General features: G+C 36.4%; 1 protein-coding gene across 9 annotated transcripts in view; it reads left to right on the forward strand.

Annotated features, from left to right (window-relative positions):
* The window catches only part of KCNQ5 (potassium voltage-gated channel subfamily Q member 5), a 576,790-nt gene that overhangs the window by 467,243 nt on the left and 93,132 nt on the right, over positions 1 to 16,415 (forward strand). For 8 of the 9 annotated variants that reach the window (NM_001160133.2, NM_019842.4, NM_001160134.2 and 5 more), the window contains exon 6: positions 15,951 to 16,061. The exons of the other annotated variant lie outside the window; for it this stretch is intronic. In NM_001160133.2, the coding sequence (NP_001153605.1) occupies positions 15,951 to 16,061 (111 nt within the window). The remainder of the gene's footprint in view (positions 1 to 15,950; positions 16,062 to 16,415) is intronic. 9 annotated transcript variants of the gene reach the window in all.

The following is a 16,415-nucleotide window of genomic DNA, read 5'->3' on the forward strand; positions in this document are numbered from 1 at the left end:
GAAACAGTTGGTAGGGAAGTAGCTTTTTTTGTTGTTGTTGATTTTCGTGGGGTTTTGTTTTGTCTTTATGAGAAAATGACTGTTATTATTATACAGTGTCCCCCAGCGATTATTTTTCTGTAAATTATTGGGGAACAGGTGGTTTTTGGTTACATAAGTAAGTTCTTTCACGGTGAGTTGTGAGATTTTGGTGCACCCATCACCCAAGCAGTATACACTGCACCCTATTTGTAGTCTTTTATCCCTCTCCTCCTTCCCATCCTTTCACCTTGAGTCTCCAAAGTTCATTGTGACATTCTTATGCCTTTGCATCCTCATAGTTTAGCTCCCACCTATGAGTGAGAACATAGGATGTTTGGTTTTCCATTCCTGAGTTACTTCACTTAGAACAATAGTCTCCAATCTCATCTAGGTGGCTGCAAATGCCATTAATTCATTCCTCTTTATGGCTGAGTAGTATTCCATCATGTATATATATATACCACAGTTTCTTTATCCACTCATTGATTGATGGGCATTTGGGTTGGTTCCACATTTTTGCAATTGTGAATTGCGCTGCTATAAACATGCATGTGCAAGTGTCTTCTTCATATAATGACTTCTTTTCCTCTGGGTAGATAACCAGTAGTGAGATTGCTGGATCAAATGGTTCTACTTTTAGTTCTTTAAGGAATCTCCACACTATTTTCTATAGTGGTTGTGCTAGTTTACATTCCAACCAGCAGTGTAGATGTGTTCCCTGTTCACCGCATCTCCACCAACATCTACTATTTTTCCACTTTTTTATTATGGCCATTTTTGCAGGACTAAGGTGGTATCACATTGTGGTTTTCATTTGCATTTCCCTGATCATTAGCGATGTTGAGCATTTTTTCATGTGTCTTGGCCATTCATATATCATCTTTTGAGAATTGTCTATTCATGTCCTTAGCCCACTTTTTGATGGGATTGTTTGTTTTTTTCATGTTGATTTGTTTGAGTTCATTGTAGATTCTAGATATTCATCCTTTGTCAAATGTATAGATTATAACGATTTTCTCCCACTCTGTGAGTTGTCTGTTTACTCTGCTGACTGTTTCTTTTGCCGTGCAAAAGCTCTTTAGTTTAATTAAGTACCAGCAATTTATCTTTGTTTTTATTGCATTCACTTTTGGGTTCTTGGTCTTGAAATCCTTGCCTAACTCAATGTATAGAAGGGTTTCTCCAATGTTATCTTCTAGAGTGTTTATAGTTTCAGGCTCTATATTTAAGTCCTTAATCCACCTTCAGTTGATTCTTGTATGTGGTGAGAAATGAGGATCCAGTTTAATTCTCCTACATATGGCTAGCCAATTATCCCAGCACCATTTGTTGAAAAGGGTGTCCTTCGCTTCTCAAAAGAAGACATTTATACAGCCAACAAAATTATGAAAAAATGCTCATCATCACTGGTCATCAAAGAAATGCAAGTCAAAACCACAATGAGATACCATCTCAAGCCAGTTAGAATGGCGATCATTAAAGAGTCAGGAAACAACAGATGCTGGAGAGGATGTGGAGAAATAGGAACACTTTTACACTGTTGGTGGGAGTATAAATTAGTTCAACCATTGTGCAAGACAGTGTGGCAACTCCTCAAGGATCTAGAACTAGACATACCATTTGACCCAGCAATCCCATTACTGGGTATATACCCAAAGTATTATAAATCATTCTACTATAAAGACAAATGCACTTGTATGTTTATTGTAGCACTTTTCACAGTAGTAAAGTCTTGGAACCAACCCAAATGCCCATCAATGATAGACTGGATAAAGAAAATGTGGCACATATACACCAAGGAATACTATACAGCCATAAAAAAGGATGAGTTCATGTCCTTTGCAGGGACATGGATGAAACTGGAAACCATCATTCTCAGCAAAGTAACTCAAGAAGAGAAAACCAAACACCACATGTTTTCACTCATAAGTGGGAGCTGAACAATGAGAACACATGGACACAGGGAGGGGAACATCACACACCAGGGCCTGTCAGGGGTTAGGGGGCTGGGGGAGGGATAGCATTAGGAGAAATACCTAATGTAAATGATGAGCTGATGGGTGCAACAAACCAATATTGCACATGTATACCTAGGTAACAAACCTGCACTTTGTGCACATGTACCCCAGAACTTAAAGTATAATAAAAAAGATAAAATTCAGCCTTAAAAAAAAGAAAAAGAAAAAGAAAAGGGTGTCCTTTCCCCATTTTATGTTTTTGTTTGCTTTGTCCAAGATCAGTTGACTGTAAGTACCTTGGTTTGTTTCTGGATTCTCTATTCTGTTCCATTGGTCTATGTGCATATTTTTATACCAATACCATGCTGTCTTGGTGACTATGGCCTTGTAGTTTGAAATCAGGTAATGTGATGCCTCCAGGTTTGGTTGGGTTTGTTTTTGTTGTTGTTGTTGTTGTTTGGTTGGTTGGGTTTTTTGTTGGTTTATTTGTTTGTTTGTTTTGGCTTAGTCCTTCTTTGGCTATGTGGGCTCTTTCCTGGTTCCATGTGAATTTTATCATTGTTTTTTCTAATTCTGTGAAGAATGATGGTGGTATTTTGATGGAAATTGCATTGAATTTGTAGATTGCTTTTGGAAGTATGGTCATTTTTACAATATTGATTCTACCTATCCGTGAGCATTGGATATGTTTCCATTTGTTTGTGTCATCTATGATTTCTTTCAGCAGTGTTTTGTAGTTTTCCATGTAGAGGTCTTTCACTTCCTTGGTTAGGTATATTCCTAAGTTTTGTGGATTTTTTTTTTGTTTGTTTGTTTTTTGTTTCGTTTTGTTTTGTTTTTTTGTTTTTGTAGCTATTGTAAAGGGGATTGAGTTCTTGATTTGATTCTCAGCTTGGTCGCTGTTGGTGTATAGAAGAGATACTGATTTGTGTATGTGAATTTTATATCCAGAAAGTTTGCTGAATTCTTTTGCAAGTTCTAGGAGCTTTCTGGAGGAGTCTTTAGGGTTTTCTAGGTAAACATTCATATCATCAGCAAACAGCAACAGTTTGACTTCCTCTTTAATGAGTTGGATGCCCTTTATTTCTTCCTCTTGTCTGATTGCTCTGGCAAGGACTTCCAGTATTATGATGAAGAGGAGTGATAAGAGTGGGCATCCTTATCTTGTTCCAGTTCTCAGAGGGAATGCTTTCAACTTTTCCCCATTCAGTATTATGTTGGCTGTGGGTTTGTCATAGGTGACTTTTATTACTTTTATTACATTGTTATATTATGACATTTTATTGTCATAGATGTCCTTTGTGTACCAGTTTTGTTGAGAGTTTTAACGATAAAGGAATGCTAGATTTTGTTGAATGCTTTTTCTGCGTCTATTGAGATGATCATGTGATTTTGGTTTTTAATTCTGTTTATGTGGTGTATCACATTTATTGACTTGCATATGTTAAACTATCCCTGCATCCCTGGTATGAAACCCATTTGATCATGGTGGATTATCTTTTTGATATGCTGTTAGATTCGGTTAGCTAGTATTTTGTTAACAATTTTAGCATCTATGTTCATCAGGGATATTGGTCTGTAGTTTTCTTTTTTGATTATGTCCTTTCCTGGTTTTGGTATTAGGGTGATACTGGCTTCATAGAATGAATTGGGGAGGGTTCCTTCTTTATCTTGTGGAATAGTGTCAATAGGACTGGTATCAATTCTTCTTTGAATGTCTAGTAGAATTCTGCTGTGAATCCATCTGGTCCTGGACTTTTTTTGTTGGTAATTTTTTAACTACCATTTCAATCTCATTACTTGTTATTGGTCATTCAGGCTATCTAATTCTTCCTGATTTAAACTAGGAGGGTTGTATTTTTCCAGAAATTTATCCATCTCTTCTAGATTTTCCAGTTTATGTGCGTAATGGTGTTCATAGTAGCCTTGAATGATCTTTTGTATTTCTGTGGTGTCAGTTGTAATATCTCCCATTTCATTTCTTCTTGAGCTAATTTGCATTTTCTCTCTTCTTTTTATGGTTAATCTTGCTAACGGTCTATCAATTTTATTCATTTTTAAAGAACCAGCTTTTTGTTTCATTTATCTTTTGTATTTTGTTTGTTTGTTTCAAATTCATTTGGTTCTGCTCTGATCGTGGTTATTTCCTTTCTTCTGCTGGGTCTGGGTTTGGTTTGTTCTTGCTTCTCTAGTTCCTTGAGGTGTGACCTTAGATTGTCTGTTTGTGCTCTTTCAGACTTTTTGATGTAGGCATTTATGGCTATAAACTTTCTTCTTAGCATCGCCTTTGCTGTGTCCCAGAGATCTTGATATGTTGTGTCATTGTTGCCATTCAATTCAAAGAATTTTTTAATTTCCATCTTGATTTCATTTTTGGCCCAATGATCATTCAAGAGCAGGTTATTTAATTTCCATATATTTGCATGGCTTTGAAAGTTCATTTTGGAGTTGATTTTCAGTTTTATTCCACTGTGGTCTGAGAGAGTGCTTGATATAATTTCAATTTTCTTAAATTTATTGAGGCTCATTTTGTGGCCTGTCATATGGTCTACCTTGGAGAAAGTTCCATGCACTGAATAGAATGTATATTCTATGGTTGTTGGATGGAATGTTCTGTATATATCTGTTAAGTCTATTTGTTCCAAGGTATAGTTTAAATCCATTGTTTCATTGTTGACCTTCAGTCTTGATTATCTGTCCAGTGCTGTCAGTGGAGTATTGAAGTCTCCCACTATTATTATGTTGCCACCTGTCTCATTTCTAAGGTCTGTTAGTAATTGTTTTATAAATTTGATAGTTCCAGTGTTCAGTGCATATACGTTTAGGATTGTGATGTTTTCCTGTTGGACTAGGCCTTTTATCATTATATAATGCCCTCTTTGTCTTTTTTAACTGCTGTTGCTTTAAAGTTTGTTTGTCTAAGAATAGGTACTCCCGTTTGCTTTTGGTGTCCATATTCCAAAAATGTCTTTTTCCACACCTTTACCTTAAGTTTGTGAGACTCCTTATGTGTTAGGTGAGTCTCTTGAAGTCAGCAGGTAGTTGGTTGGTGAATTCTTATCAATTCTACAATTCTATATCTTTTAAGTGGAGCATTTAAGCCATTTACATTCAACGTTAGTATTGAGATGTGAGGTACCATTCCATTCATTATGCTATTTGTTGCCTGTATACCTTGGTTTTTTGTTTTTTGTTTTTGTTTTTTAAATTGTATTTTTGTTTTATAGGTCCTGTGAGATTTATGCTTTAAAGAGGTTCTGTTTTGATGTGTTTCCAGGATTTGTTTCGAGATTTAGAGCTCCTTTTAGCAGTTCTTGTAGTGGTGGCTTGGTAGTGGTGAATTCTCTCAGAATTTGTCTGTCTGAAAAAGACTGTATCTTTCCTTCATATATGAAGGATAGTTTTGTTGGATACAAAATTCTTGGCTGGTAATTCTTTTGCTTGAGGAGGCCGAAGACAAGGCCCCAATACCTTCTAGCTTATAGGGTTTCTGCTGAGAAATCTGCTGTTAATCTAATAGGTTTTTATTTATAGGTTACCAGGTACTTTTGTCTCACTGCTCTTAAAATTCTTTCCTTTGTCTTAACTTTAGATTACCTGATGACAATGTGCCTAGGTGATGATCTTTTTGCAATGAATTTCCCAGGTGTTCTTTGTGCTTCTTGTATTTGGATGTCTAGGTCTCTAGCAATGCTGGGGAAGTTTTCCTCTGTTATTCCCTGAAATATGTTTTCCAAACTTTTAGATTTCTCTTCTTCCTCAAGAACACTGATTATTCTTAGCTTTGGTCATCTAACATAATCCCAGACTTCTTGGAGGCTGTGTTCGTATTTTCTTATTCTTTTTTCTTTGTCTTTATGGAGTGCGTTAACTGAAAGACCTTGTCTTAGAGCTCTGAAATTCTTTCTTCTACTTGTTCAATTCTATTGCTGAGACTTTCCAGAGCATTTTGCATTTCTATAAGGGTGTCCAAAGTTTACTGAAGTTTTGACTGTTTTTTATTTATGCTATCTATTTCCTTGAATATTTCTCCCTTCACTTCTTGTATCATTTTTTGGATTTCCTTAAATCGGGCTTCACATGTCTCTGGTGCTCCCTGATTAGCTTAATAATTAACCTCCTCAATTCTTTTTCAGGCAAATCAGGGATTTCTTCTTGGTTTGGGTCCATTGCTGGGGAGCTAGTGTGATTTTTTGGGAGTTGTAAAGAACTTTGTTTTGTCATATTAACAGAATCGGTTTCTGGTTCCTTCTTATTTGGGTAGGCTCTGTCAGAGGGAAGATCTAGGGCTGAAGGCTGTTGTTCAGATTCTTTTGTACCACAGGGTGTTCCCTTGGTGTAGTACTCTCCCCCTGTTCCTATGGATGTGACTTCCTGAGAGCTGAGCTGTAGTGATTGTTATCTATCTTGTGGATCTAGCCACCCAACAAGTCTTCCAGACTCCGGGCTGGCACTGGGGATTGTCTACAGAGTCCTGTGATGTGAACCATCTGTGGGTTTCTCAGCCGTGGATGCTAGCACAGTATTTAGGGTGTCTCCTAGGTCCTTCAGGAGCAATCTGCTTCCTGCAGGGGGTCTGTGGGTCCTCTCTATTTTCGTTTTAAAGGCAGACTTTGTAATAGGACACACTAGTGGGCAATTTATAGTTGTATACTCATAAGCAAACTGTTTAAATTATCTGAATCCAAGTTTCCTCATATGATCACAAGATGAGGTCCCACAACAGGTCGTCTGCAAGCTGAGGAGCAAGGAAGCCACTCTGAGTCCCAAAACCCCAAAAGTAGGGAAGCCGACAGTGCAGCTTTCAGTCTGTGGTCAAAGATCCAAGAGTCCCAAAATTGAAGAACTTAGAGTCCAGTGTTCAAGGACAGGAGGCATCCCGGATGGGAGAAAGATGTAGGCTGGGAGACTAAGCCAGTCTTGGGAAGTGGCTTAAATTAGGTGATCTGGGATGGTTTTCTGTGGAGCTGACATTTCAGCAGGTACCTGAATGCAAACCTGGAAGTAACAGAAATTCAGAAAGAGAAAAGCAAGGGCAAAGGTCCTTAGGCAAAAAAAAAAAAAAAAAGAGCTTGGTGTGCTGATGAATAGCAAGGCAGGAGGGGCAGAAGCAGAATGAGAGAGAGCATGGTAGAAGACCATATCTGAGAAGTTAGCTGAGGTCAATCATGAAGAACCCTGCAGGCCATGGAGGAGCTGGGACTTTGTTCTAAGAGATGTGGGGAACGCCTGGAGCAGTCTGATCATAGGAGAGGCATGATATTCAAAGACATTCCCTGGCCTAGCTTTAGCATATCTAGTTAACCTTCTCTTTACTAATCCTTTACTTTTCTTTCATTGTAAATTGAGAAATTATAGTTGTATATATTTCTGGGGTAGAAAGTGATGCTATGATTTACAAACACAATGTGGAATCATTACATCGTGCTAATTAACATATCCACCACTTCAAATACATATCAATTTTTGTGGTGTGGCTGGGTGCAGTGACTCACTCCTATAATCCCAGCATTTTGGGAGGCCAAGGCAGGGGGATCATTTGAAGTCAAAAGTTCAAGACCAGCCTGGCCAACATGGTGAAACCCTGTCTCTACTAGAAATACAAAAATTAGCTGGGTGTGGTGGCGGATGCCTGTAATCCCAGCTACTCAAGAGGCTGAAACAGGAGAATCACTTGAACCTGCGAGGCAGTTTGCGGTAAGCTGAGACCGTGCCACTGCACTCCAGTCTGGGTGACAGAGTGACTCAGTCTCAGAAAAAAAAAATGTGGTAAGAGAATTTGAAATTTAGTCTTAGTAATTTTGAAATGCACAATACACATTACTAACTGTATTCACCACACTGTGCAATAGATCTCATATATATATATATATACACACACACATACACATATTGTTCCTGTTTAACTGAGGCTTTGTGTCCTTTGACCATCATCTCCCCATTCCCCCAACCCCCAGCCTCTGGTAACCAGCATACTACTCTCTTCTACCATGGGTTTCATTGTTTCAGATTCCCCATGTAGTGAAAACATGCAGTATTTACCTTTCTGTGCCTGGCTTATTGCAGATCATCTCATGAGATGCAGAAACATCATTTGATCAAATTTTATTTCATAATAAAAATCCTCAACAAATTAGGTACAGAAGGAATGTAACTCAACACAATAAAAAGCATATATTATAAGCCAATAGCTAACATTATACTCCACAGTGAAAAATTGAAATCCTTTCCTCTAAGATCCAGAACAAAATAAGGATGCCCACTTGAGCAAGATCTAGTGCTGTGCTGGCTTCAGGTCTAACCCAGTGCAGTCTCAGTGATGGTGGCCACAAGGCTGCTTGTGTCGCCCCTCACCAAGCTCCAGGCACCTCAGCACAGAGAAAGAGAGACTCGTTTGTTTGGGAGAATGTAAGGAAGAGAACAAGAGTTTTTGCCCAGTAATCCAGAGAATTCTTTCAGATCTTATTCAAGACCACCAAGGTGATACATCTACAAGTCTACAAGAACCATAGCATTACTGGGCTTGGGGTACCCCTTAATGCAGAAATGCCTGCAGTGACCAAAAACTTAGATCATAATACTGAAGTCCCTTCAAATACCAGGAAAGCCTTCCCAAGGAGGATGGCTACAAACAAGCCCAGATTACAAAGACTACAATAAATACCTAACTCTTCAATGCCCAGACACTGACAAACACCACAACCTCAAGATAATCCAGGAAAACATGAGACACTCAACATAACACAGAGAATGAATTCAGAATTTTATCAGATAAATTTAACAAATAAATTGAAATAATTAAAAAGAATCAAGCAGAAAATCTGGAGGTCAAAAATGCAACTGACATACTGAAGAATCATCAGAGTCCCTTAATAGCAGAATTGATCAAGCAGAAGAAAGAACTAGTGAGCATGAAGACAGGCTATTTAAAAATACATGGTCAGCAGAGACAAAAGATAAAAGAATAAAAAAGAAGGAAATGCCCAAAATATCTATAAAATAGCTTCAAAGGGGCAAATCTAAGTTATTGGCCTTAAAAAGTAGGGAGAGAGAGAGAAAGTTTATTCAAAGGGATAATAACAGAACTTCCCAAACCTAGAGAAAGATATCAATATTCAAGTAAAAGAAGGCTATAGAACACCAAACAGATTTAACCTCAAAGCATTCACTAATAAACTTGCAAAATTCAAGGATAAAGAAAAGATTTTATAAGCAGCAAAAGAAGAGAAATAAATAACGTGCAATGGAGCTCCAATACATCTGGCAGCAGACTTTTCAGTGGAAACCTTACAGGCCAGGAAAGAGTGGCATGGCATATTTAAAGTGCTGAAGGGAAAAAATATTTTATCCTTGAATAGTATATCTGGCAAAAATAGCCTTCATGAAGGAGAAATAAAGACTTTCCCAGACAAACAAAAACTGAGGCATTTCATCAACACCAGACCTGTCCTATAAGAAATGCTAAAGTGATTTCTTTAGTTTGAAAGAAAAAAGGCATTAAGGAAAAACTAAAAACCATCTAAGGGTAGAAAACTCACTGGTAATAGTAAGTACACAGAAAAACAGAATATTATAGCACTATAATTGTGCTAATTATTTATATTTTAAGTAGAAAGACAAAAAGATGAACTTATCAAAAATAACTACAACAGCTTTTCAAGATATACACAGCATAATAAGATAAAGTAGAAACAACAAAAAGTTTAAAAGTGGGATGACAAAGTTAAAATGTAGCATTTTCATTAATTTTCTTTTTGTTTATTTGTTTATGCAATCGGAGTTAAATTGTGATCAGTTTAAAATAATGGGTTATAAGATATTATTTGCAAGCCTCATAGTAACCTAAAATCAAAAAAGCATACAATGGATACACACAAAAAAATAAAAAGCAAGAAACTAAATCATACCACCAGAGAAAATCACTTTCAATGAAAGGAAGACAAGAAGGAAAGAAAAAAGCAAGAGAAGACCACAAAACAACTAGAAAACAAATAACAAAATGGCAGGAGTAAGTCCTTACTTATCCATAATAACACTGAATATAAATGGATTAAACTCTCCAATCAAAAGACACAGGATTGAATGGATTCAATGGATTAAAATTAAATTTTAAAAAGCAAGACCCAATGATCTGTTGACTACAAGAAACATACTTCATCTATAAAGACTCACATAGATTGAAAATAAAGGGATAAAAAAAGATATCCCATGCAAATGGAAACCGAAAAAGAGCAGGAGTAGCTACACTTAGATCAGACAGAATAGGTTTCAAGACAAAAGCTATCAAAAGAGACAAGGAAGGTCATTATATAATGATAAAGGAATCAATTCAGCAAGAGGATATAACAACTATAAATATATATGCACCCAACACTGGAGCACCCAGATATATAAAGCAAATATTATTAGAGCAAAAGAGAGAGACATACCCCAAGTCAATAATAGCTGGAAACGTCAACACCCAACTTTCAGCATTGGACAGATCATCCAGACAGAAAATCAACAAAGAAACATCAAACTTAATCTGCACAATAGACCAAATGGACCTAATAAATATTTATAGAACATTTCATCCAACAGCTGCAGAATACTCCACACACTTCTCCTAAACACATGGATTATTCTCAAGGATAGATCAGGATAGGCCACATGTTAGGCCACAAAACAAGTCTTAAGACATTCAGAAAATTGAAATAATATCAAGTATCTTCTCTGACCACAATTGAATGAAACTAAAAATCAGTAACAAGAGAAAATTTGGAAACTATACAAACACATGTAAATTAAACAATATGCTCCTGAATGACCAATGGGTCAATGAAGAGATTAAGAAGCAAATTGAAAAATGTCTTGAAACAAATGATAATGGAAACACAACCTATAACAAAACCAATGGGATACAGCAAAAGGAGTACTAAAAGGGAAGTTTATAACTAAAAGTGCTTACATCAGTAAAGAAGAAAAACTTCAAATAAACAACCTATTATGCAACCTACAAGAGCAAGAGTAAACCAAACCCAAAGTTAGTAGGAGAAAGGAAATAAAGATCAGAGCAGAAATAAATGAAATTGAAACAAAGAAAATACAAAAGATTAACAAGGCCAGGCACTGTGGCTCACGCCTGTAATCCCAGCACTTTGGGAGGCTGAGGCAGGCGGATCATGAGGTCAGGAGACCGAGACCATCCTGGCTAACATGATGAAACCCTGTCTCTACTAAAAAATACAAAAAAAAATAGCTGGGCGTGGTGGCAGGCGCCTGTAGTCCCAGCTACTCGGGAAGCTGAGGCAGGAGAATGGCGTGAACCCGGGAGGCGGAGCTTGCAGTGAGCCCAGATCACACCACTGCACTCCAGCCTGGGCAACAGAGTGAGACTCTGTCTCAAAAAAGAAAAAAAAAAAAGATAAACAAAAGAAAAAGTTGTTTTTTGAAAAGATAAACAAAAATGACAAACTTAGCCAGACTAAGAAAAAAGGAGAGAAGACCCAAATAAATAAAATCAGAGATGAAAAAGGAGACATTAAAACTGATACTACAGAAATTCAAAGGATCATTAGAGGCTACTGTGAGAAACTATATACCAATAAATTGGAAAACCTAGAAGAAATGGATAAATTCCTATATACATACAACCTACCAACATTGAACCATGAAGAAATCCAAAACCTGAACAGACCAATAACAAGTAATGAGATTGAAGCCATAAAAAAAATTATCCCAGCAAAGAAAAACCTGAAACCTGATGGCTTTACTGTTGAATTCTACCAAACAATGAAAGAAGAACTAATACCAATCCTGCTCAAACTATTCCAAAAAGTAGAGGAGGAACAAATACTTCTAAACTCATTCTATGAGGCCAGTGTTATCCTAATACCAAAACCAGACAAAAAATGCATTTAAAAAAGAAAACTACAGGCCACCATCCCTAATGAACATTGATGGAAAAATCCTTGACAAAATACTAGCAAACCGAATTCAACAACACATTAAAAAGATCATCCATCATGACCAAGTGAGATTTATCTCAGGGATGCAAGGATGGTTCCTCCTATATTTAGAACACAACAAAGATGCTCATTTTCACCACTGTTATTCAACATAGTACTGAAAGTCCTAGCTACAGCAATCAGAGAAGAGAGAAATAAAGAGCATCCAAATTGGGAAGGAAGAAGTCAAGTTATGCTTGTTTGCAGATGATATGATCTTATATTTGGAAAAACCTAGAGTCCCCATAAAAAAACTATTAGAACTGATAAACAAATTCAGTCAAGTTGCAGAATACAAAATAAAATACAAAAATCAGCAGCATTTCTATATGCCAACTGCAAACAATCTGAAAAAGAAATTGAGAAAATAATCCCATTTACAATAGCTACAAATAAAATTAAATACCTAGGAATTAACCAGAGAAGTGAAAGATCTCTACAAAGAAAACTATGAAACACTGATGAAAGATATTAAAGAGGATACAAAAAAAGGAAAGATATTTCATGTTCATGGATTAGAATAATCATTATTGTTAAAATTTCCATATTTCTCAAAGCAATCTACAAATTCAGAGCAATTCCTAACAAAAATACCAATGACATTCTTCACATAAATGGAAAAAACAGTGCTAAAATTTATATGGAACCAGAAAATACCCAGAAGAGCCAAAGCTATCCTAAGCAAAAAGAGAAAAACTGGAGAAATCACATTACCTGACTTCAAATTATACTACAGAGATATAGTAACCAAAACAAAATGGTACTGGCATAAAAACATATACTGACCAATGGGACAGAAGAGAGAAACCAGAAACAAATCCGTACATCCACAGTGAACTCATTTTCGACAAAAGTACCAAGAACATGCAACGAGGAAAGGACAGTCTCTTCAATAAAAGGTGCTGGAGAAACTGGATATCCATATGAAGAAGAATGAAATTAGACCCCTATCCCTTGCCATATGGAAAAAAATCAAATCAAAATGGGATTAAAAAGTTAAATCTAATACCTCAATCTATGAAACTACTACAAGAAAACATGAGGGAAATTCTCCAGGGCAAGGATTTCGTGAGTAATATCCCACAAGCACAGTCAACCAAGGCAAAAACGAACAAATGGGATCACATCACGTGAAAAAGCTTCTGCACAGCAAAGGAAACAATCAACAAAATGAAGAGACAACCCACAGAATGGGAGAAAATATTTGCAAATTATCCATCTGACAAGAGATTAATAACCAGAATATATAAGGAGCTCTCATGACTGTATAAGAAAAAATAAAATAATCCAATTTTAAAACGGGCAAAAAATCTAAATAGATATTTCTCAAAAGATGACATTACAAACCACAAACAGGCATATGAAAAGGTGCTCAATATAATTAATCATCAGAGATATGCAAATCAAACTGCAATGAGATATCATCTCACTCCAGTAAATGACAGGCACTAACAAATGCTGTCAAGGATTTGGAGACAGGCAATAACAAATGCTGGCAAGGATTTGGAGAAAAGGACAGGCAATAACAAATTCTGGCAAGGATTTGGAGAAAAAGGAACCATTGTACACTGTTGGTGGGAATGTAAATTAGTATAATTTAGCCACTATGGAGAAGAGCTTGGAGGTTTCTCATAAAACTAAAAATAGAGCTACCATGTGATCCAGCAATCCCACTGCTAGGTATATTCCCAAAAGAAAGGAAATCAGTATATCAAAGAGATATCTGCACTCTCATGTTTATTGCAGCACTATACACAATGGCCAAGATTTGGAAGTAACCCAAGCATCCATCAACAGACAGATAAAGAAAATGTGGCATATATACACAATGGAGTACTATTCAGCCATTAAAAAGAATGAGAACCTGTCATTTGCAGCAACATGGATGCAAGCGGAGCTCATTTTGTTGAGTAAAATAAGCCAGGCACAGAAAGACAAACTTCACATGGTCTCATTTATTTGTGGAAACTAAGAATTAACAGTTAAGGATTAAGAAAATGTGGCACATATACACCATGGAATACTATGCAGCCACAAAACAGGATGAGTTCGTGTCCTTTGTAGGGACATGGATGAAGCTGGAAACCATCATTCTCAGCAAACTATCGCAAGGACAGAAAATCAAACACCACATGTTCTCATTCATAGGTGGGAATTGAACAATGAGAACACTTGGACACAGGATGGGGAACATCACATACTGGGGCCTGTCATGGGGGGGGGGGAGAGGGGAGGGATAGCATTAGGAGAAATACCTAATGTAGATGATGAGTTAATGGGTGCAGCACACCAACATGGCACATGTATACATATATAACAAACCTGCACATTGTGCACATGTACCCTAGAACTTAAAGTATAATAATTAAAAAAAATTAACAGTTAAACTCACAAAGATAGAGAGTAGAATGATGGGTACCAGAGTATGAGAAGGGTAGTGGAGAGAGTGAGCAGAGAGGGAAGCGGAGATGGTTAATGGACACCAAAAAAAAACCAGAAAGAGTGAATAACGTCTAGTATTTGAAAGTACAAAAGTGTGACTATAGTCAGTAATAATTTAATTGTACATTTTAAAATAATTAAGAGTATAATTGGATTATTTGTAACACAAAGGATAAATGCTTGAGGTGATGGATACCCCTTTTACCCTGATATCATCATTACATATCGCATGCCAGTATCAAAATATCCCACATAACTCATAAATATATATACCTACTGTGTACCCACAAAAATTAAAAATTATTAATAAATTATTAGTTTGATTTAAAAAAAACAAGGATGCTCACTTTTGCCACTTCTATTCAATATAGTAGTGGAAGTCCATGCCAGAGCAGTTAGACAAGAGAAAGAAATAAAAGGCATCCAAATAAGAAAGGAAGAAAGGAAATTTTTGCTGTTTGCTGACAACATAATCTTATATATAGAAAACCCTAAAGATTCCAGAAAAAAACTGCTAGAACTAATAAATTCAGTACAGTTACAGGAGACACAATCAACACCACAAAAATCACTAGCATTTCTATACATTAACAACAAACTTTCCAAAAAAGAAATCAAGAGAGCAATCCCATTTACAGTAGCTACAAAAATTAAAATACTTAGGAATAAATTTAACCAAGGAGCTGAAAGACCTGTACACAGTAGTCTATAAAATATTAAAAAAATAAATTGAAGAAGTCACTAATCCTTTTTAAATCCACCATGCCCCAGTCCAGCTGAACAACTCATACTTTTCAGAATCTACTCTATGTGTTCTCACTGTTCTGCAGCTAGCCACCTCTTTCTCCTCCCTAGATCACCTTCTTTATCATTTCTGCTTCTCAAAATGTTACCCCTCTTTCAAAGCCCAGGTATGATGACATCTCCCTAGTAAAGCTCCCTCAACACCTCAAGCTTATAATAACTAATCTCTTCCTTGAATTCCCATAGCAGGTTATTTGTACCTCCATTATAATACCTCTCTCATCCTGTTTTGCATTTTAATTATTCATGTGTGGCATGTTTCTCTTATTAGGCCATAAATATCTTAGGACAAGAACTATGCCCTCATTTTTGTTCCACTACAAATCTTAACACATACCTTGCACACACCAGACCTTCAGGAAATGCCTGCTAAGGTAACGAAGGGACAGCCTAAATTAACATAAATTATTATTTGTGTACTGATCCAGTCCTAAATCCATGGTGCTATCATTTCTGTATCACTGATGGTTATCCACTTACTTAAATAATCTTTCCTTAAATACACTTAGAAAAGACGGAAAACTGTGTTATAAGGGAGGAACAAGTATGTAGGTTATTCCTTTCCTTAAACAAAGAGAAGTTCTGTCATGCGTCATGGAAAATTAAAGCACAGTAATAAAAAGCACGAACAAGATTTGTTGAATAATGATTTAGTGGAAACGTTGCTTGCCTCCTGTTCATAGGTCCTAACTTTCCTCTCAAGTACTTAAGCTGCACATTCTATTTATTTTGTTTCTAGATTACATTGACAACTATTGGCTATGGAGACAAAACTCCCCTAACTTGGCTGGGAAGATTGCTTTCTGCAGGCTTTGCACTCCTTGGCATTTCTTTCTTTGCACTTCCTGCCGTGAGTATCTTTGCACCAATAAAGCAGTTTAAATTAGATCTTAGAGACTTATTAGAGTGAGCTCTCACAAATTCGTATGCTTGGGAACATATCTATATCATTTACAAATATAATTTTTCCGATATAATGTTGACTTTTCTAAATATATCTACTTGGATAATTTATAAAATATGGTCTTCCCTTGGAGACACTTAATCTGAGACTTTATTTAATGTAGGCTCATACTTTGTGACCAAATAATCATTCAGATGGCTCACTTTTTAGGCAACATGCTACTAAGACATTTAAAATATTTGCAAAGATTTAAAGCTATATTCTTTTAAAACTGATCCTTCCAATTTGGTTTATAATGTG

Source organism: Homo sapiens, chromosome 6 (genome assembly GCF_000001405.40).
Source record: "Homo sapiens chromosome 6, GRCh38.p14 Primary Assembly".
Lineage (NCBI taxonomy): Eukaryota > Metazoa > Chordata > Mammalia > Primates > Hominidae > Homo > Homo sapiens.